This window comes from Homo sapiens, chromosome X, assembly GCF_000001405.40.
Source record: "Homo sapiens chromosome X, GRCh38.p14 Primary Assembly".
Classification (NCBI taxonomy): Eukaryota; Metazoa; Chordata; class Mammalia; order Primates; family Hominidae; genus Homo; species Homo sapiens.
In genome coordinates this window covers 18628118-18650749 of record NC_000023.11, presented here as the reverse complement: position 1 = coordinate 18650749, position 22632 = coordinate 18628118, and the positions used below count along the sequence as shown (strand labels likewise).

The following is a 22632-nucleotide window of genomic DNA, read 5'->3' as shown; positions in this document are numbered from 1 at the left end:
TGCCCATTACAATCACCTGCAGCTTTGTCCCCATGCCCAGGCCAATGATGTCAGAATCCCTGGGGGTGTGGCCTGAACATCTGCATTTCTACAGCTCCTCGGGCAATTCCGAGGTACAGCCCAGGCTGAGCCCCACCGGTCTAGAGTCTCTGCTTACCGGATTGCTGGGTTGGGCAGCTGAAAGCATCAGTGCCTCGGACCTGGAGTGTCGGGCACATGGAAGTGCCTCGGACCTGGAGTACTGGATAGGGAGCAGGACTGGAGATTGGACGATGAAGGGCTCGGTTTGGGACGCACGGAGTGTGAGGCTTCTTTGGGTCACCACAGCAGAAGTATTCTCCTGGAAAATATTCAGAGGGCAGTGGAATGAAGCTTGGGGCCCGGGAGGCAGGCATCGGCTCCCAGACACCAGCTGAAGCCAAGGTGACAGTGAGAGCGTCACCTTCCCTGGGGAGTAAGTACAGCATCCACGTCTGGACACACGGGTCTTTAGATCGCAGAGTGAGCCACACATTCTCTGCTGCCTGGACAGGCCCTCCCAGGCTGTCAAGGCCATTGGCCCTGGCCAGGTACCCCTGCAGGGCTACAGACCGCTCTGGAGTGTTAGATGAGCTATTTGGGAAGAAATGGCAAAAGAGATGTGAAGGGGAAACAGATGAAGAAGAGCAAAGTGCCAAGAATAAGGTGACTGGGAGAGGTGGCACTGGCTTTTTCCCTTCCCCTCTGCCTACTCTCTCAGAGCTAGTAGCCCTGAGCGGGGCGGCGGCGGCGGGTGGGGGTGGAAAACAAAAAGGAGGTTCAGTCATCAAATGCTCAAAGTGGAGGGGCCTCAGAGACACCCAAGGTTAGAATTTTGCCCATGAAAAATCCCTGCCACCTGGCCTTGTGCCCCTCCCCCTGATCGCTCGGGCTTGTCTTCCCAGCTGGAGGGGTGTCGCGGGTGGGGGAGGAGCCCTCGAGTCCGCAGGCACTCAGTCCTCGGGATCCCCAGCCCACAGAAAGAATGTCTTCCCTGGCAGGCCAAGGTTTTCAAGGTGCACTTTCAAAAGTTGGCTTGTTAAAAATGCAATTGCTCTGGGGTGGAGTCCTGGAAACTGCATTCTTGAGTACTTGAGTACTCAATAAACTACAAATTCTGTGCCCTCACCCTCAGACCCACAGAGCTGCAGATACTAGTGAGATCAGGCCTATTCCTTTCGTGCATTGGGGCAGAAAGGAAGTTAAGCCTCCCCGGCCAGAGGTCTGAAGCTGGCCTGTTTTTAGCCTCTGGGGACAGGGCATGGCCGTCTCTGCAAGCATGTTTCATTCAACTTTACTGGCTTTTGAAAAATTCTGGAGAAAATACTATGATTTGCCTTAATTGCAGTTTATCATTCATCATCAGAAAACTAGGAGAATGAGGTGGGAGGATCACTTGAGCCCAGGAGTTAGAGTTGCAGAGAGCTATGACTGCGCCACAGCACTCCAGCCTGTGCGACACAGCGAGACCAGGTCTCTAACCAAAAAAGGAAAATATATTTGCCATTTGTTTTCTGTAGAAATTCAGTTAGGAACTGGGTTTGGTTATAAGCACAAGACCCCCTAAATACTGGCTTATTGATTTAGGAGTTTTAACTCACATGGTAAAAAAAATTAGGGGTAGGGAGTTATAATACTTAAGGTTATCAAGGCTAAGGTCTCTGTAGTTTTCTTTTTTTTTTTTTTTTTTGAGACAGTGTCTATCACCCAGGCTGGAATGCAGTGGTGTGATCATGGCTCACTGCAGCCACAGACTCCTAGGCTCAAGCAATCCTCCTCCCTCAGCCTCCCCGGTAGCTGGGACTATAGACGTGAGCCACGAGATGGGGTCTCCCTATGTTGCCCCAGGCTGGTCTTGAACTCCTGGGCTCAAGTGATCCTCCCAAAGCACTGGGATTACAGGCATGAGCCACTGCACTCAGCCTCTGCAGTTCTCTCGGCCTTACCCACATGGTGCAAGATGGTTACTGTCACACCAACTATCAGATGTGATCTAGGCAACAGGAAAAAAGAAGGGGCAAGCAAAACCTGACCAGAAATCCCAGCAGGCAGTCTTTATGTCTCACTGGTCAGAAGTTATGTCACCTGGGCACTTCTAACTGCAAAGGAGGCTGGGAAAGGCCCTTTATTCAGCTGGCTACATTGCTGCTCCCAATAAAAGGAGAGCTCTTTAGTCAAAAAGAAGGGGAGGCTGGGTGTGATGGCTCACACCTGTAATCCCTAGTGCCTTGGGAGGCCGAGGCAGGTGGATCCCTTGAGCCCAGGAGTTCAAGACCAGCCTGGGGAACATGGCAAAATCCTGTCTCTACAAAAAATACAAAAATTAGCTGGGTGTGGTGGTGTGCACCTGTGGTCCCAGCTACTCAGAAGGCTGAGGTGGCAGGATCGCTTGAGCCCAGGAGGCAGAGGTTGCAGTGGGCTGACATAGCAGCACCGCACTGCAGCCTAGGACAGGGCGAGACCCTGTCTCAAAAGAAAAAAAAAAGGAGAAGAAGGGGAGAATGAATGAATACTGGGTTGAAAATTGGCAGCCTCTGACCAGGTAACTCGACACTGTGCCTGCCACTGCAGGCACCACCTCGGCTCACTGAAACCTCTGCCTCCCGGGTTCAAGCGATTCTCCTGCCTCAGCCTCCCGAGTAGCTGGGATTACAGGCATGAGTCACCGTGCCCAGCCTCAACACCGTTTTTACTGTGAGGGGACATACAGACGAGAGGAAGGGGGAGACAATCAACACAGAAGAACCACCTTTGGGTACTACCACTGGGAAAAAGCAGTTCCTTTTAGCTGTTTCTCACTCAACAGTCCCCCAAGCACATTTCACCCATTTTTTTTTTCATTAGACTGGTGAGAAAACTGCAATTTACAAGTAGGAAGTCATTCTCTATATCTCAATATGTCATCGCCCTTCTTGCGTCTCACTGTGGTTTTGTCCCTATAATTGGCATGATCTGCTGCCCAAGGACAACAAGAGACCTGACGTCATGAGGCAGGATGGCTAAATCTGTGTTAATGGGGGAAATAAAGATGTATGGCATTTAAATATGGTATTTCACTGTGCACCTCTTGGTTTTTAGATCTCTAAGTTGGTGGAGGAGGTGAAGTATTTCTCAAAATTCCACACACCCCTTGTGAAGTTGCCATAGAGCCACTTCCCTCTGCTTTTACAAAGGCTGTTGAGTCTCTATGGCAATTCCTTTACTTCATCCTTCATTCCTTTCTTGCGTGAGTAGTGAACCGTTGAAGACACAGCTGTACCCATTGTGAACCACAGAGACAGGTAAAGCCTTCTCCGTCTCCGAAGCGCAAAGCAGATGGGTTTGTTTTGTTATTTCAGTCACCTGGTGCTTGTTGAGTATTGAGATATGTGTGAATGTGAATTCTTTTTCCTTTCCCAGAATGCCCATATCACAAGCCTCTGGGTTTCGAGTCAGGGGAGGTCACACCGGACCAGATCACCTGCTCTAACCCGGAGCAGTATGTGGGCTGGTATTCTTCGTGGACTGCAAACAAGGCCCGGCTCAACAGTCAAGGCTTTGGGTAAGCAGGGCCCGGGGATTTTTTTTCATGTGCTTTTAAAAAAAAATAGGCCTCTCTACCAGCGTGGCCAACACAGTGAAACCCCGTCTCTACTAAAAATACAAAAAATTAACTGGCGTGGTGGCACGTGCCTGTAATCCCAGCTACTCAGGAGGCTGAGGCAGGAGAATTGCTTGAACCTGGGAAGCGGAGGTTACAGTGAGCCGAGATCACACCACTGCACTACAGCCTGGGCGACAGAGTGAGACCCTGTCTCAAAAATGAAAAAAAATATAGGCCTCTCTAATAAACAAATGACACAGAATGTACTTATGAGTGCTGGGGGAGAGATGAAGGAAGAAAGACCTCATCCATGCAGCCAGGGAAGGCTTTCTAAGGAAAACATATTTGACCTGTGGCTTGAAGTTGGCCAGGTGAGGGAGGGGAAGAGGCGTGGGGTACAGCAGGTGCAAAAGCCCTGAGTCGGGATGATACCTCCAGGGTGTGGATGGGGAACATAAGCAGGGCAGCAAGCCTGAAGCACAAGTGAGACAAGGTGGAGAGGCAAGCGGAGGTCAGATGGTGCAGGACCTTAGAAGCCACGTTAATGACTGTGGTCCGTACTGTAGGGATAATGGGAGGACCCTGAGTGCGTATTAGTTAGCATACATGTTCATGCTGTTGTAACAAAGAGCACCAAAGTACAGTGACTTAATGTAGAAGTGTGTTTCTTGCTCACTTAAAAGTTCCATTCATCAGCCAGGCACAGTGGCTTACGCCTGTAATCCTAGCACTTTGGGAGGCCGAGGGGGGGCAGATTACCTGAGGTCAGGAGTTCAAGACCAGCTTAGCCAACATGGTGAAACCTCATCTCTACTAAAAATACAAAAATTAGCCGGGCATGGTGGCAGGTGGCTATAATCCCAGCTACTTAGGAGGCTGAGGCAGGAGAATCACTTGAACCTGGGAGGCGGAGGTTGCAGTGAGCCGAGATTGTGTGCCACTGCACACCAGCCTGGGCGACAGAGCAAGACTCTGTCTCAGAAAGGAAAAAAAAAAGTTTCATTCAGTAGTCTAGGGTCGTTATGGCAGCTTGATGGCATGCGGGGCCCAGACTCTACCTTGTTGTTCTGTCGTCCTTAACATGAAGCGTCTATCTTGGGGTCCAGAATGGTGTCTCTGTCTTCTGCCATCACATCCACCGTCTAGTTAGTGGGGAGAAACAAAAGAGCAGCAGAGTGCGCATGACTTGCCTTTAAGAACACAAACATATTCTATTGGCCACTTCTGCCCACATCCCATTGACCAGAGTTTGGTTAGGGGGCCCCATCTAGTTGCAAGGGAGACTAGGAAATGCCATCTTAGCCAGATGGCCATTTGCCCAGATGAAACTCAGGGGTTCTATTACCAAATGAGGATGGGAAGGGAGTATCGGGTGATAATTAGCAGACTCTGCCGGATAAATATTTTAAGTCGAAGAGTATCGCAAGCACATTTGTGTTTTAAGAAAAGTTCTCTGGTTCCTGTGGGGCCAGAGCAATCCAGGGAGAGTAGTTGAGGTGTGGGAAGAAAGAGGGGGACACGGGCTAGAGTGGTGGCGGTGGAGACCGACAGAAGTAGAAGAATTTGAGGCACTTGGAGATGGAGCCAATAGATAGATTGGGCACTGGAGGTGGAGAGGAGGGGCCCAGGATGGTTCTCAGGTGGCCGGCATGGACACATGCAAGGATGGGGTTAACTCAGAGACGTGGGGTCTGAAAGCAGGGTGGGGTGGGGGCACTTAGGGGCTCACATTGGGACGTGTTTCATCTGAGATGCTGAGAGGCATACAGAAGTCCTCTAGCTGGCAACTGAACTCTCTGGATTTGGGGTTTAGAAAAGGTGTGGGATAGAAGTGAAAAGTCAGGAGCCACCCAAGGAATAAGTCTGGAAAAGGAAGAGAAGGTGGCCCAGGGCTTAAGTCCTACAAAGCTAATTAAAATACACACTAAAAGGAAAAAAGGAGGTGGCGGGGGGAACTACTATAGGTTTCCACGATTTATGAGGAATGTAGCTAAAAAAACAACTTAGTTGCTTCAACGGTTATCTGGCTTGACACTTGTCAAAGCCCTTCTAGATCCACATGGGTCAGTGCTCTGCACGAGGCAGGAATGTCACCAACCGAGGGAAACACAAATAGGTGTGAAGAGAGTGAAATGCGCAGAAAGGTTCACCCTGGGAGTCTCAAGCAGAGGGCAGGGGCTGGTGGTCTAACAGCCATGCACCTGCGTGTTTTGCAGACAGACATGTTCAACCACTCCCAAAGGCAATTTCAGCCACACTCTGAGGCATTTCTTTGACAAATTAGTCGAATCTGGAAATCTTTTCTTGGGAGGTGGAGATGCAGGGAGAGGGAGAATGAGATGCAAGTTAAGTATAACGGAAGCTGGCCATTCCTAGGAGACAAGGCTCAGACTGCAGCCCAGACTGCCCGAGCTTGGCAGGGGGCTCTTTGGATGCTGGCATCCCCTCGAGAGCCAGCACCTGCGGGCTTTTTGCAGACATGCACAGGGGGAGTCTCTCGGTGACTCGGTATGTTCTCGGCAGGTGTGCCTGGCTCTCCAAGTTCCAGGACAGTAGCCAGTGGTTACAGATAGATCTGAAGGAGATCAAAGTGATTTCAGGGATCCTCACCCAGGGGCGCTGTGACATCGATGAGTGGATGACCAAGTACAGCGTGCAGTACAGGACCGATGAGCGCCTGAACTGGATTTACTACAAGGACCAGACTGGAAACAACCGGGTAAGTTGGGCTTATCCCAAACCAACTTCAGCTCGCACCCTCTGGGACTTCCCCTCCTGTCCCCGAGCTCCTGTCACTGCCCTCTGTCAGAGCACCGACTCCACAGCACAGTGGATCATCTGCGCTTTCCCCCACAATGTGCTGTGCTCTCTTTCCTGGGCTTGCTTTGGTGCCCAGCACAGTTTGTTTGCAAATGAATGCTATTCTTAAGCTCAAAAAAAAAATTTGTCTGAGTTTCCATATCAGCATGCAGTTGCCTGAACTCTTAAGACTGACCATTTGGACTATTTCAACTCACTGGATCATTGAATGCACTTTGCTTCACGGGTATGGTCTGATGTTATTGATGTGGGTAGAGAATCATCCATTTATATAGATGTGGCCTCTCCTATTGTTTGAGACTGACAGAGGGGAGCCTTTTGAGAACCTAGCAAGTTACCCATTAGCCAAATGGTTAAAAGGACTTCACCAGCACAAACACAGACGAACTTAAACCTTTGGGCAACTCTACATCCTATTAATCTTTGTGGATTGAGACAGAAGTCTTCTTCACCATTGACTAAACGCAGTAGACTCCTGACTATATATATATATATATATTTGCTATGAATAAAAATGAATTAAAAACTCCCTAGCTCTTTGGAAATGGTAAACATCCTTTTGCCTAAGAGTAAGGAGTTCCCCAGGCTAATTTCAACATTTAATCAGGTTAAGTAGACATGTACAGCTGAGATTCAGAAGGCTTTGTAAGTCTCTGATGACAATTTGTACGGCCAAGACGTTCATGGGTTGTTCCAAGGAGTTTGAACACAAGAGGAAAAACCATCTTGATACTTGGACATTTAATTTCATTTTTATTCTTATTAGCTGGCCTCTTCAAAAGACATGAGAAGTTTTTCAAGCCCTGTGCTTCTGAAGGCCTTGAAGGTTCTTTGCAAAGAGGCACTTCACCCCTGCACTTGTGCAATCTGGTGGAGCCTGTTCCACCCTCCCCTCTCTTCACCTGGCTCCTGACTTGAATAGGCTCAAAGACAAACTGCAATAGAGAGGGTGGTGTGGGGCGGTGCCACTGCGGAGAAAGGCAAGAACATGGCAGACCAGGCCCTTCCCGTTTTGTGGATGGATGGGGCCAAATGCAACAGCCAGATATTTTCAGGAGATAATCCCAGAAGGAGATGAAATGTCCTAGTGGCATCAGGCAGAGCACCATGACTTTGGTAAGAGGGCAAAGAATGATTTCTTTGGAAATGGCGTCAAACACCCACAGCATGTTTTTATGTTACATCCTTAAAAACACTAAGCAAACCCCCTTTCTCTTTACTCTGGCACCACCCTCCCCTTTCCAGAATCTTCCTTCGAGTTTTTATGTCTTTTTGTTTTGTTTTGAGATGGAGTCTCACTCTGTTGCCCAGGCTGGAGTGCAACGGTGTGATCTCAGCTCACTGTAACCTCCGCCTCCCGGGTTCAAGTAATTCTCCTGCCTCCGCCTCCAGAGTAGCTGGGATTTACAGGCACCTGCCACTGCGCCTGGCTAATTTTTTTGTATTTTTAGTAGAGACGGGGTCTCACTGTGTGTTGGCCAGGCTGGTCTCAAACTCCTGACCTCAAACGATCCGCCCGCCTCCGCCTCCCAAAGTGCTGGGATTACAGGCGTGAGCCACTGCGCCTGGCCAAGTTTTTATGTCTTTTTAAAAAAACATTTTCCAAGTTGGAAAGGTACTCATCACTTGTATCAAAGTAGGAATACACATTTAAGTTTTGGCTTACAACTCCTGAGCCAAGCACGGGTTTTCACTTGAGCCCTACTTTGGATACCTTTGGAACATGTAAGTGTGATGTGGGCCTTTTCAAAATGTCAAAATGCAAAGGATAAAAACTCAAAAGCGATGAGTCAAGTGGCATTTTCTAGCAGCACCCTCCAATAGAACTTTCTGTGATGGAAATGTTCACATCTGCACTGTCCAATATGGCGGCCACTTGAAATGTGGCTCATGTGACTGAGGAACTGAATTTTTATCTAATTTTAATTAATTGAAGTGTAAACAGACATATTGGCTAGTGGCCACCCTATTGGATGGTGCAGTTCCAGATGTCCCAAGCATGTAGGTGTGATGACAATCACTCAAGGTCAGATTTTGGGGGGCACCCGCAAACTGCTTTAACTACTTCCTAATCATTTCTATAGTTAAAAGTTGGGGCTAGCTCCAGAAAGGAACCCTTCTTCCTTTTCCCTCCCCGATGTGATGGTGACAGGATTTCCTCTATCTCTCTAGGTCTTCTATGGCAACTCGGACCGCACCTCCACGGTTCAGAACCTGCTGCGGCCCCCCATCATCTCCCGCTTCATCCGCCTCATCCCGCTGGGCTGGCACGTCCGCATTGCCATCCGGATGGAGCTGCTGGAGTGCGTCAGCAAGTGTGCCTGATGCCTGCCTCAGCTCGGCGCCTGCCAGGGGGTGACTGGCACAGAGCGGGCCGTAGGGGACCCCCTCACACACCACCGAGATGGACAGGGCTATATTTCGCAAAGCAATTGTAACTGCAGTGCTGGGTAGATAATTTTTTTTTTTTTAAGATATAGCTTTCTGATTTCAATGAAATAAAAATGAACTTATTCCCCACTCAGGGCCAGAGAAAGTCAGAACAAAGAAAATGTCCCCGAAACGAATTTTCTTACAAAAGCCTAAGTAGCAGGGGTAATTTTCTGCTCATTTTTTGTCTCAGTGATACTGTGAAAGGTGCAGTCTCAGGGGAACACAAAGCAGCCCTGATAATTTGAAAATTCATTTGCTTTACCACATTCAAGACAGAAACATACAGTTTCCTAAAGCCTGGCTTTGAATGCAGAAGGGAGCAGCTCCTCCTAGTTAAGTTTCCACTAAATCATCGCCAAAGAGGACTTCAGAGCCCTGGGGAGGCAGCTGAGGGTCTCAAGGGTGACTGGGTGGCAGGGATGAGTGCGGTGGGTGAGAATCCCGGTGCCCTGAGAGGCTATACGTGACAAATGACCAAAAGCCCAAGGTAGGGGAGTTTCCTCTGCTCACAGTTCTTACCTTCAAGGCGGATCTGGGCTTCCACCCTCATGAACACAGGGATTGGGGAGGGACCAGAGCGCCCAATACACACAGCTCCATTATGCAATCCATTCCAGCAAATTCCCCGTGTCTGTGGTCACCATTTAGGTGATCATACAGGACAGGCTGCACATCTCAGTATATGTAGGGACCCCAAATGACCACAACACAGTACAATTGCCCTTTACCTAGGGCTACCATTTCCTAGCAAACCAAACATAGTTCGAGAACAGCTGGCCCAGGAGCTACCACTGGCTACTCAGAGGAGGCTCATTAGCTGGCTACATGCTTCGCAGGAAGTGGGAAGGACTCACATCATAAAAAGGACCATGTAGCTTTTTCCCTGAAAGCTTCTCACCCTCCACCCTCTGCCTTGCAATACGCAAACTGCGCCTGCTCCTGAAAAGCTCTCTGGGAAGGAATGGGCCTGGCTTTCCGTTCCTGGAGGCGGCGCCTTAGATTGGGAGGCCTCATTGGCCACTTAGAGCGCAGCCTGAGTTTCCAGGCCCCTTCCTGGGAGAGGCTGTTAACACGGGGGAGGGGCAGGAGAGGGATATGGAGAGCAGGTGGTGGAATCAGAGGACGAGGCTGCTCTAAAGACTGTTCTGGCCCCAGACACAGGGTAGTCTTTGCTAGCAGCTCATTTCCGAGTTACTTTTCATTTTCAAATGCCAAGGCAAGTGACTAGACTCGCGCTAATACAGTGCTGGACAACACATTCACCTTTTCTGTGAACAGGCAGCCTTCTAAAAGCCCCAAACATCCTTCTTGATGCTTTGGGGGCTCAATTATTTTATATCCAACCCAGCATCTTTCTAGTCCCTATGCTGTATGCTTGAACTTCGGAAAATGCTTTTCCCCGCCCAATCTTCTCTCAAATATAAACACATCACACAGGGTGTTGGGGGTGGGGGGGGGGGGTGGGGGGACTTATCCCTGGCCTTAGGACACAGGACAAATCTATTTTGGATAGAAATGCCTGAACAGAGACCCTTATTTGGAAAGGTGAATTAACTTTGGTCACGACATGGACTGTCAGACAAAATGGCAGTATCCTAAGAGTTAAGGCACATCAAACACAGGAGTCGAGAGAGTGCAGTTCAGGGAAAAAGGAGAGGAGGAAACAGTGAGGCAGGGAGAAAGGCTTTCCAAATAAGAGTTCATGTTGGAAACTTTTGTCACGGCTTTATTGAGATTAAGTTCACATACAATTTGTATCCATTTAAAGTGTACAATTTGATGACTTTTGGTATATTCAGAGTTGTGCAACCATTATCACTAGATCAATTTTAGAAAGTTTATCACCCCAAAGAGAAATCCTGCACCCATCAGCCAACACTCCCCAACCCATCGGCCACCCCAAGCCCTCTGCAACCACGAATCGACTGTCTCTGTAGATTGGCCTTCTGGACGTTCTACATAAATGAAATCATATAGTATGTGGTATTTCGTGACTGGCTTCTTTCACTTAGCATAGTGTTTTAAAGTTCATCCACGTTATAACATGTGTATCACTATGTCACTTGTCACTCCTTTTTATTGCTGAACATCATTGTTCAGTATCATGTCAAGAGCACATTGTTATTTATCCATTCATCCATTGATGGATATTTGGGTTTCCACTCTTTAGCTATTATGAATAATGCTGCTATGAACATTTGTGTATAAGTTTTTGTGCGGATGTGTGTTTTCATTTATCTTGGGTATATACTTAGGAGTAAAACTGCTGGGACACACAGTCACTCTTGTTTAATCTTTGGAGGAACTATTATCCCAAGTGGCTGCATCATTTTACATTTCCACCAGCAATGTAGGAGGCTTCCACTTTCTCCACATCCTCAGCAACACTTGTTACTGTCCATCTTTGACTATACCCATAATGTGTGAAGTTGCATCTCAACTGTGGTTTTGATTTGCATTTCCCTAGTGACTAATGATGTTGAGCATCTTTTCATGTGTTTACTGGCCATTTGTACATCTTTGGATAAAGGTTTTTCAGATCCTCTGCCCATTTTAAATCGGCTTACAACTTACTGAGTTTAAGAATTCTTTGTATATTCTAATTCCCTTATTGGATATGATTTGCAAATATTTTCTCCCATTCTGTGGATCTTTTTAACCCTCTCGATAGAGTCCTCTTAAGCACAAAATTTTAAATATTTGATGAAGTCCAATTTATTTTTCTCTTTGCTTGTGCCTTTGGTGTCATATCTGAGAAACCACTGCCAAATCCAAGGTCATGAAGATTTACCCCTATGTTTTCTTCTATGAGTTTTATAGTTCTACCTCTTACAGTTAGATCTTTGTTCCATTTTGAGTTAATTTTTGTATATGGTGTGAAATAGGAGTCCAACGTCATTCTTTTGCATGTGGATATCCAGTTGTCCCACCACTATTTGCTGAAAAGACTATTCTTTCCCCCATTGAATGATCTTGGCACCCTTGTCAAAAAACAATTGACCATAAATGTGAGAGGGTTTATTTCTGGACTCCAAATTCTATTACCTCACTTTCTTCATTATTGTAGCTTTGTAGTAAGTTTTGAAATTGGGGCATGTGAGTCCTCCAACTTTGCTCTTCGGGATTGTTTTGGCTATTCTGGGTTCCTTGAATTTCCATATGAATTATAACTAACTTGTCCATCATTGCAAAGAAGCCAGCTGGGATTTCACATTGGAAACTGCTCAATACTTCAGAATTTAATAAACAGTAAGATATACGATTCATAAGACATTTATCTGCAGATAATTTGCTTACAACAGCATATTATTTACTTCATTCAATTCATGACAGAATGTATAAAAACTAAAACTTTTATTGAGGGAAATCTGAAGCCTAATAGAATCTTGCTGTCAAACACACAAACTATGCTTCCAAGTATCATTTCTTTTGTGGGGGAAACTTTCAATTAAAAATTATACATAGTGTAGGAAAAACTCACTCTTACCTTATTTTAACATATTTACTTTTATTTTTAGAAATGCTAGAGCACGGTCTACACTGGAGTTTGTTTAAAAATTGCGGTAAAATATACACAACATTTGCAGATTTTTAAATAATTAAATGAAATGTTACGAACAAAGAAGTAGCATTAAGTGTTGCCAATATTAAGGAAAAAAAATCTGAGCTGATTCGGGTACTCTGTGTGGGAGGAGGTTACTTGGACAAAGCAAAGGTATTTCCAGATAGAGATGCTGCTGTGAATCCATTCTCAGAGCCCAGAAGATTGCACCCCTAAAGTGACCCTTGGAATGGATGCTCACAGAACCCCATCTTTCTGTCCACTTGGGGCTTGGTTGCTAAGGCCCACTGACAAACAGCTTACAAGGACTGTTGCTTCCCCTGTGGTCCCAAGAGTACTTCCATGCTGGGTCATTCTTAAGCCCAACCTTACAGGGCTGATACGAAGATCAAATAGGCTACGTGCATCTAAAGGGCTGTGCGGACACCTACTGAGCTCTGTGTAACTGGCATTAAAGATTCAGTGACATTCCTTCTCAATTTCCTGAAACTGCCAAATTGGGACAGAAGTAATAGCAATGTTTTACAATAGCAATAATGTTATAAGAGCTCATATTTCTTGAGACTCTCAAGTGCTCTGCAGGTTATTATCTCATTAAATCTTCACAACAACACTGAGGTAGGTACTGTGATTACCTCCATTTAAAGATAAGGAAACTGAGGCATAGTGAAGTGCCTTGCTTCAAGTCACATGAGATGTAGGAGATGGAGCCAAGACTCCACCCAGGCAAGCGGACTCTATATCCTAGGGATTTATTTATTTATTTATTTTTGAGATGGCGTCTCGCTCTGTCGTCCAGGTGGGAGTGCAGTGGTGCGATCTTGGCTCACTGCAACCTCTGCCTTTTGGGTTCAAGTGATTCTCCTGCCTCAGCCTCCCGAGTGGCTGGGATTATAGACATTCACCACCATTCCCGGCTAATTTTTGTATTTTTTTTTTTTTTTTTTTGAGACAGAGTCTCGCTCTGTTGCCAGGCTGGAGTGCAGTGGCGTGATCTCGGCTCACTGCAACCTCTGCCTTTTGGGTTCAAGTGATTCTCCTGCCTCAGCCTCCTAAGCAGCTGGGATTACAGGCATGTACCACCACACCCAATTTTTGTATTTTTAGTAGAGACGGGGTTTCACCATGTTGGCCAGGCTGGTCTCGAACTCCTGACCTCGTGATCCACCCACCTTGGCCTCCCAAAGTGCTAGGATTACGGGCGTGAGCCACCGCCCAGACCTAATTTTTGTATTTTTAGTACAGACGGGGTTTCTCTATATTGGCCAGGCTGGTCTCGAACTCCTGACTTCAGGTGATCTGCCCGTCTCAGTCTCCCACAGTGCTGGGATTACAGGCGTGAGCCACCACACCTGGCCTGATCCTGGGCTTTTAAGCTGCATCCCCAGAGGACCTCCAGTGACTTGTTTCAATGAAGTGTTCTATTCTCAAATTGCATCAATTACCATCTGCTGGGAAAGGGGATGGAAGGTGGCACATAAATTGTTGTGAGCTTTTAGAGAAGAATATGTTATACATCGTGGGGACTTGTTACCTGCTCTAATTAGTATACTTATTCCATCAGTGTAGATAGCCATTTCTAAGTCTGTTACCCTTTCCTTCACTTGACTAAGTTGTCTTTATTTCTGCACCTAGAGTAAACTTCAGGCAAAGTTTTTAATATAACCTGTGTTGGAAACTGTTTTTGAAAATTTGAACCTTGGAGTTACTTGAATAAATCTGAATTACTAAAGAGAAACAATACTGATTGTGACCACATTACCATACGTGGACGTGCAGTGACTTTTAAGGGTATATGGGCTTTACAATGAACATATTCGGCTTCAAATCCTGGCCCTGCCACTTCCAAACTGGGTGACCTTGGGCAGGTTAATGTCAAGTATGGAAATCTGTTTCCTCATTTACAAAAAGGGGATAATAATAGTACCTGTTTCGCTGGGTTGTTGTGAAAATAATAATAATAATAATAATAATAATAATAATAATAATAATAATAAAGCAAAACACTTGGGCATTGTGCCTGGCCATAGTAAGTGCTATGAACATTAAAAAGTATAAGCACCAAATACTTTCATTCAGTCTTGGTAAGATTATAGTTGAAAGCACAGGCCACAAGTTTCCATGTCACTTAAGGAGATAGAGTGAAGAGGTGGTTGACAGAGGACTTTTAAGAATGGAGAGCACTGACTTTCAGCTCCTACCCTTTGTTTAGAAAGAGAAAGAAAACTGGGGAATATTTCATCTATAAGTTATCACAAAAGCTAAGTTCTTTCCCTCCTGATTGAACATGTACTCGGTTGGTGTTACCCTAAATGATGAAACTGAGGGCCTAAAACGGGTTAGTAAACTATGGCCTGTTTCTATAAGTAAAGTTTTACGGGACCACAGCCACACTTACTGATTTACATATTATCCATGCAGCCTCTGCAATACAAAGGCAGAGCTGAGTAATGTTGACAGGGAACTGATGGGCCACAGAGCCCCCAATATTTACCATCTGGCCCTTTACAGGAAAAGCTTGCCCACCTCTCCTCTAGAATCAAAAAACCCTTATTAAGCTGTGCATCTTTGCTTTCTCCATAGCACTTAGCACAAGATTGGCCTCTCTTCCCATCCTCCTCAAACTACCACGTGAGTGTCTAGCGACGTGCAAAGGTGACAACACTCAAGTATAAAACAAACCAAAGTTTTCAAAATGCCGTAAGGGGAAAAAAGCTTTATAAATAGGAAAACAAAGATCAACATCATTAAGTTACAGGATTTGCCTAGTTTTACATTAATTTCTGTCTCAAACTGATTACAACCTCAAAGGCCCATCATCCCTCATTTGAATTCGAATGCATTCTTTCTTCCCAAGAAGGAACTAAAATGGAGCTGTTCGCAGTTCAAACACGAAGGACCACAGTGCTCAAGATTGGGACGGCCTGGCAGTCACATCAGTCAGTGCAAAATCTGCATTTTATTAAAGACATTTGGGAAGATCCATTCAAAAATACATTGTGCTCAGTAAAAATTAACCATTTCATGCTGATAATGAAGGTTATCACGGAATAGATATTTGTGTAATATTTACAGCAACAATAGAAATTTTACATAAGTTTAGAATGGAATTACATGCCAGAAAAAACTTGATAAGATGTACCAACACATGATACAAAGAGTTATAGAAACACTTTACAAATGGTTCATAATTCACTTGTGAGGATTTAAGTATTCAACACTTTAAATTCAGTTTGGATTCAAAAATTAAAAAGATTAACAATCACATCACACCCTTGCCACAGTAAAAAGTATGGAATTACACTTTATATAATGGATTATAAAGTCTGTGCAATTAAGAATTTCCACTGATTCTTCATCTACCACATACTAGATGTCACATCATTCTGGCTTATCCCTATTTTTAAGAATGAACAGAGTCTAAATGTCACCCTGCCCTGTGTCTTCCCAGACACCACCTTCAAGCTTACTAGAGATTGAAGAAGCTCTGAATAGTTAGCTAAGTATATACAGAATAACTACCTGAATTCAAAATGGCACAAAGCAATTCTTGGAGATAGAAATTTGGGGCAATGATTTTGTTTGGTTTAATTGTTTCTGTTAATCAATCCAAGTTTACAGTGAGAATTTACTTCTTTTAATCACCGTATTACCCCTCTAGCCTGACTCGATCGGTGACCAAAGAGTAAACAAGGGGAGGGAAACAGACTGAGGGCCAGAATCATTGTGTGTCTCTAGAGAAAACAGGTTGTCTGCAAGCTTTGCTTTCCATTTTGGAAAACCTAAGCCGTGCTGGAGAACTTACTTACACATTCTCCGGGACGATAAGCATCTTTTTTGTTTTGTTTTGTTTTTCCATGAAACTCTACAGAGTTTGAACCGGAGCTTTTGACAATTCTGGCAAAAAACACTTTAGTCCCCACAACAGGGACAAAAGTCAAGGCATCTACCTTTTCTATTCCTGGGTTTCTTCTGATAAGACCTGAAGCAGAGCACTAGGACAAGCTTGTCTACCCCTGAAAGAAATCAGATCAGACTTTTGGGAAAGTAAAATCCCCAACCAAAGGAAGTCCTGAGGAATTCTTAGCAGTCTGTCAAAACAGGGGGGATGGAGGAACAGATAAGGCCTCTTTCTCCCTGATACCCTGTGTTGGAAGAGTAACAAACAAGGCAACTTCTAATCTGCATACAACATGGAGACCGATTTTCAGATTCCAAAGGAGGATCGAAATAGGAACCAAGGATCAAATGGGGTTTCGAGAGCTTAACCTTGTGGGAAATGAAGGGCTTTAGAAGTGAAACTAGTTTCACTGCCGCAATTTTGCTGGCCCTACAAATCCAGCGTGCCGACTATTACAATTTTTTTCTGGCAAAATGAGACAAACTTCCTTTAAATTTGGGCATAAACAGGTGATGAATGAAAATGCAAGGCGGGTCATGATCATATTTAATAGCCTACAGTAAATACACGGAAAGGTGGGGTCAGTGCCCGGAGAGGAGAAAGGTGGAGCCAGGACCAAGCCTAACGCTGATGAATGAACAAACCACTGTGGGAAATGAAGATTCATGTAGTAACTGGCTCACATGAAGGCCTACCATTTGTATCGTACATTCAATTCACAAAGAAAAAAAAAAAGAATCGAAGGGGGCAGCAGGCCCAGAGTTTCCTAGCCACCCCACTTCTCCCACATTGCGTGTATGCAGATAGATGAGGGACTTCTTTTTCTTGTATGGTTTCTTACTCATCGTTTCTGAGACAGAATTTTTCATCAGCTGAACCAGACCTCAAGATATTCTGTATCTCAGCTGGTCAAGAAGCAAAAGGAAGAAATTGTAACTGCTTACAAGTTTGGTTTCTGGTTATTTTTGTAAGCCAGGCTTTTAAGTCTTTGAGAGGATCTTCTTGTGAGATTCTGGCCCTGGGAATTAGCGACAGGACACTTACAACCTTTGTACTGTCTTTTCTATGTCCCCTTTCAAAAACAATTGTGGTTCTTCAAACCATAAGTAAGTTTTCTCTGCCTACACACTTTCTTAGTGATGAACTGAAGGAGGCAAGGAAATATTTCACTATTTTCTGACTTGGTTCAGTGTACCCTACCACATTCCAAAGTTCACAAAAGTATGAGTCTGTGGATCTTAGAACCCACATCTCAATATCCCACTATCATGCAGGAGGTAACGAACTTCTAGATAGAAAAGCAATGCTCTCCAGGAAACATGTTCTGACCAGCAGAGAACGTGCAGATTTACTGAGTCCCAGCTGAGCTCCAGCACCGAATCACATTGAGCCATTGCCCTTGCTGAAAGAGTTCAGTCACCACCAGGTCCCAGGTGAACAGAAATAGACAGATCTTTCTACACACTTGCAAAGTAATCCTCTGGCCTTTGAAAAAAAGTTGTACTATGAGTCATTCTCAATAATACATGGCTAGAAGAAAATAAATGGCTTTTTTCCTTATTTACTCTAAAGACTAGTTTAAGAAGTGAGGATACTATGATCTTAACTAAGAGGGGCTGGAAAGGGAAAATGGGATAGCATTTCCTAGTATAGTCCACTAATTCTCAGATTAGGAACATGCTAAACTGGCTAACTCTACAACCACAACATACTTTATAATACATGGCGTGACTAGAGACTGACAGCATAGCTCTGAGCTTAGAATTAAAGTACAACTGCGTAAGGTGAATCTTAAAGCATGTTTTAAAACAGATTTAACCAAAGCATACAGCACAAATACTTCTATAACAGCCACATCACAACCACCAATACGGACTTTTTTGCTTCTAATTGGTCTGCCATATGCTAATATTTGTAAAGAGCTATTAAATGACTTGAATAAAAAACAAAGACATTTTCTTTCGGGAGACACAGCTGAAAGCCACGGATGCCTTTGAGCAGTTGGTAAAAATCATGCCAATCTGCCAGGCTGTTGCTTGCTTCTAAATATAAGCCTCATGGCTCTATGAAAGATTTTCTAAGGATGCTAACCTAGAATTTAAGTTCTCCAACACCTATAAAGTAACTCTGGTCTCCTTCCAAAGTATGCACCTTTTAGCAGGCCCAAGACAATGGAAACGAACAATAGGATTCCAAGGATTCAGGCATAGTGGTTGAAGACTCTTAAGAGAATGTGATGTTGAAGAAATCACACCTGCAGTACTGTAGCCTGGACAGAACAAGGCCAGAGCCAAGCTCTGCAGACTGGTGGGCTTGGGATGGTGTAGGGCAGGGTTTCTCAACCTCAGCACTAGTAGTGCTTGGGGCTGGACCACTGTTTGTTTGGGGGGCTGTCCTGTGCATGGCAGGGTGTTTAGTAGCATCTGTGGCCTCTAACCACTTGATGCCAGTAGCATACCATCACCTCCCCCCCAGCTATGACAACCAAATGTCCCCAGACATTGCCAAATGTACCCTTGGGGGTAAATCTGCCCCTAGTTGAGAACCACAGTTGTAGAGTCAGCTCACTTGAGCCCCTCAGCATGAAGCACTCCCTTTTGGTCTTGGGCTCTAGAAAGAGGCTAAATTTTAGAGCAAGACCAACAAGGTTCAGTTAAAGGGTATTTAGAACTTCAGAGAGGAAAAACGAGGATGGCAGAGAAATAAAGGTAGAAAAACAGTGAAGCAGAGTTTCTTTTCCAAAGGAGATCAGTGATACTTTCATAAAAGTAACATAAGCTTTCATTCACCCTTTTTCTTCTTTAGGAAGTTACGGCCGATAATAGGACATGGATGTCATGAATTCCCCTTCCTAAAGAAAAGGCAAATTTTTCTGACTTTAAATCAAGTCCTTTCTACCATGGATGGCAATCTTTGTGATGTCAGTAATTTTTCATCAACAGGGGAAAACAACAGTTAAAAGCTAAGAGAGGGCCCATTAGGTGTGAGAGAAAACTTTTGCATCCCCCTCCGTGAGCAGGAAGAGAATTGCATGCTGGAAATGCAGATTGTAGTTCACTTACAGCTTATTGGATGAAAAGTCAGAACAGACAAAAGCTGAGAAGAGGATTAAAGAGCTACCTCGAAAACACTGGTTGAAAACATTTGTAGATATCTGTAGGTATTTTCTGGCTCAAATCTGGGAAAGTACAAAAAGTACGTATTGACTCTTCAACAATTAGGTTTACTTTGCTCTAGGTAGAAGGCAAATATTCTAGCCCTTCTTTGAAGAACCGTCATGAATAGAAATGTTCTGCAAACATCTGAGATCCCAGTGTTAGCAAGGATGACAACATGGGAAACCAGCCCCTAGGTGACGAGCCTCGAATGCCACAGCATGGCAACGGGACCGTGCAGTTCCTAAGCGCATAGCACAGTGAGAAGTCTTTCCAGAGAAAAAAAGTGTAGTTTCTGGTTTGCAAGGGGGGAATACAAGGTAGAGATCTAGTATGAAAAAGAAGAGTTAAATACACACCCTTTTAGAGTCATTAGTGTCCAGGCAAAACTGCTGATGGTCCACCTCATTTGTATCATCAAGCAGCTGCCTGGAAAAGCCAGAATTCAGAGCTACCCAAACAGTACTGAACTGGTGAAAGAAGTAAGACAGAAAAAGAACTAAAGAGCATGCAAAACTATTGGTTTGAGTCAAATTTTTTCAGTAATAGTACCCAGTCGAGTTTCATTTTAGTGCCTATTACACTCATTAAAATTAAATAAAAAGCACCTTAAAATGACCTATCTATATAATCAATACACATTATAGTATTTATATAAAAATGCAATATGTGCACAATTTAAGCTTCAGGGAAACTAGGACCTTAGTCTTTATAATCTTCATAATCATCAGAGCTATGATTCTCAAAATCTCGGGGGAGGGTTAACAGTAACAGCACATTTTGATCATAGCTGACTTGATGCAGGGGCTGACACTCAGAATTTGAGGACAAGTAATAAATACTGAGAAGTTATCTCTTTGAGGGGTGGGAGGGACCTTTAAAAGTATTATTGCTCAGAGACTAATTCCAAAAATCTACTACTACTGATAGATGATGGTGCTGAGGTGACTTCCCTCAAGGATGACCCAGAGGCATGGGAGGATAACACTTGATGGCCAAAGGGTTTGATGATACTTGGGAGTAACTTGGGAGCTGAAAGAGATCAGATGAGGGGAAGATAGGTCCTGTTCTGATGGGGGTTGTGTGCGTAACAGGTGTGCATGAAAATCTTGTCATAAGTGGACAGCCCCAGGAAGAAAAAAATGGATAGAGTAATTTTTTATCTATCTGGAATTGCTCCAGGAGCCTTTTAAATATGGTATTGGAGAGAGCAATAGCAAAAAAGGCATTCAGAAATAGAAATGCCACACATATATCTCACACCCCATCAGCCAAGAGTCTCCGGGACAGTGGACAATATTCAGGAGCATAGAGATGGTTTGCAAGATCTGCAGACAGGTACCTCTTATGATCTCACAACAAGGAATGTTCACTGGCAAATCTTTGGTCTACGCTCTACACTAATGCTAAGTGGAAGAGCACATTCTCTCTACAAAGACCCACGAGTAACGCCTCAATCTATTCTCCCCTGTGTGCAAGTAACGTCCCTGGACACAAACAGGAGCCAAGTGTGTGAGGACGGAAACCAGGCCTGCTGGAATTCTCACTGGCCTATCTGACTTTCTTCCCCTGCAGGTTTGGAAAGAGATGCTGCATCTCGTCTGCTACCAAGGATCATGTCTAGAGGCTACTGCTGGGGCCTCAAAGTTGAGCAAGGTTCATACTGTTACAGTCACGTGTAGCCACAATTCAACTCCCTTTAGTAGAAGTATAATACTCACTTCATATCACAAATGTATAAAAATATGGCAGATAGTGTCATAACGATACTTTCTTTAAATGAATATATTTATAAAACAGATATTTACCATATATATATATTATATATAGAATAAAATACTCCTGATGCAATATATAAATGTTACTGTTTAGTTTTTATAGAAACTACTGTAGCTGTCCCACTGCTTCACAATGTTTCAAACAGCTCAAAATAACTTTACATTATAACATAAAAGATATGATTTTAACAGTACAATATTAATTATAAATAAATGTTACAAATCCTATCAAATATGGAAGTTTAGAAAACAATTTAAGACATACAGTTCATCTGCTAACCCTTCAAAGGGATACTCTTGGATTACAATAAACCCCACATTTACTCTAGGCAGAAAAAAATATGTAGTAAGGGCATCGGTCAACACGACTTTCCTATCCCTTGCAGTGCCAGGACACATCCTGGCATTCCCAAGTTCAACAGAGATTGCACTAAAGCTGGAATGTAAAGGGGAGAAACTGGCAAGAATTTCTTCTTCCTCAATGGCACACTCTATCTATTCTCACACAAGACCTGTGGGGAGTGGCGATCCCTAAGGAACTCCTGTGGCTCTAAGATCCCTGACTAGCATTTGTGGCCGCGAGGAGCTCAACGGCCCCAACACATGCAATATTGCACACACCTTCATAAAGCTGAAAATATTGGCTCACCACTTGGCCCGGCCCATGCCCCAAGCCCAGCCCACCCTTTCCCACCCCTCCCCACTGGCTTGTCTGTCCACCCCTCCCCCCTACCAGCACAAATTACAAGGCTGTCTCTTTTAAATCATTCAGATTTGGCATTCGTGAGCGATTTGTTCTGTTATAGGGGTGCCCATTTGGCCCACTTTTGGCACCCAGCTGTTCAGAGTAGGAAGGGCCCTCTGTGGCACTCCTGGTCACAGAGGACACATGCCAACCAGGATCCATCTGACCTGGCAGCTGGAGGGCTGGCCTGCCCTTCGGTGCGGGTTCCTGCCGGATGTTGCTGCTCCCGCCAGAGGCCTGGCTCAGGGGGTGAATCCGAATTTCTGAGAAGGAATTTTTGGTTTGTTGAGCTGTTAAGGGCTGGAAGCGGGGATCTGAGGAAGCCGGGTGATTTGAGGCCGAAGAGAGATGTAACAACTTGCGCAGTGATTTTAATGGCTGGCTCTGAAAGAAAGGATGAGAATGCACACAGGATTCAAGTTAGAGCGACCATAAGGCTGGGGAGGGAAGGGGGCTTAGAGGTGAGGTGACTGGGTGTGGCCAGGAAGGGCAAGCATGTGCAAGGAGGAGCCGGTCCAGCCATATCTGTTCTTCGGGTTTTTTCAAACAAGACTGTATTATTATTTAATGGAAAAGCCTAGAAATCTAGATAAGACATATAGAGCTGGTACGGCAGCCAATCAAAGGCCCAGGCTCA

The 22632-nt window shown here is 44.7% G+C and overlaps 2 protein-coding genes across 5 annotated transcripts in view, besides 2 other annotated features; one reads left to right on the top strand and one right to left on the bottom strand.

Moving 5' to 3' along the window:
* The window catches only part of RS1 (retinoschisin 1), a 32421-nt gene extending 21359 nt beyond the window's left edge, over positions 1 to 11062 (top strand). Inside the window, exons 1-4 of one of the 2 annotated variants that reach the window (XM_047442337.1) lie at positions 111 to 454; positions 3418 to 3559; positions 6125 to 6320; positions 8594 to 10833. In XM_047442337.1, coding sequence (XP_047298293.1) covers positions 367 to 454; positions 3418 to 3559; positions 6125 to 6320; positions 8594 to 8746 — 579 coding nt within the window. In that variant the 5' untranslated portion in view covers positions 111 to 366 and the 3' untranslated portion in view covers positions 8747 to 10833. Of the gene's footprint in view, positions 1 to 110; positions 455 to 3417; positions 3560 to 6124; positions 6321 to 8593 lie in introns of those variants that run through there. The other variant, NM_000330.4, reaches the window with a different exon arrangement.
* Positions 1 to 22632, bottom strand: part of CDKL5 (cyclin dependent kinase like 5) — a 228022-nt gene that overhangs the window by 2880 nt on the left and 202510 nt on the right. For 2 of the 3 annotated variants that reach the window (NM_003159.3, NM_001037343.2), the window contains 3 exons: positions 22163 to 22379; positions 4660 to 4743; positions 158 to 340 (listed from right to left, as the gene is read on the bottom strand). In NM_003159.3, coding sequence (NP_003150.1) covers positions 158 to 340; positions 4660 to 4743; positions 22163 to 22379 — 484 coding nt within the window. Of the gene's footprint in view, positions 1 to 157; positions 341 to 4659; positions 4744 to 10553; positions 22380 to 22632 lie in introns of those variants that run through there. The other variant, NM_001323289.2, reaches the window with a different exon arrangement.
* Positions 671 to 1419: an enhancer, noted in NCBI's record as "H3K4me1 hESC enhancer chrX:18667451-18668199 (GRCh37/hg19 assembly coordinates)". NCBI's record gives its function as "activates a minimal SCP1, AML or CMV promoter by ChIP-STARR-seq in primed H9 embryonic stem cells {active_cell/tissue: H9 hESC(primed)}" and the evidence as "EXISTENCE:reporter gene assay evidence [ECO:0000049][PMID:30033119]".
* Positions 9917 to 10086: a silencer, noted in NCBI's record as "fragment chrX:18658784-18658953 (GRCh37/hg19 assembly coordinates)". NCBI's record gives its function as "represses an EF-1alpha promoter that drives an FKBP-Casp9 reporter gene in an ReSE screen in both phorbol 12-myristate 13-acetate-treated (for megakaryocytic differentiation) and untreated K562 erythroleukemia cells {active_cell/tissue: K562 | K562(+PMA)}" and the evidence as "EXISTENCE:reporter gene assay evidence [ECO:0000049][PMID:32094911]".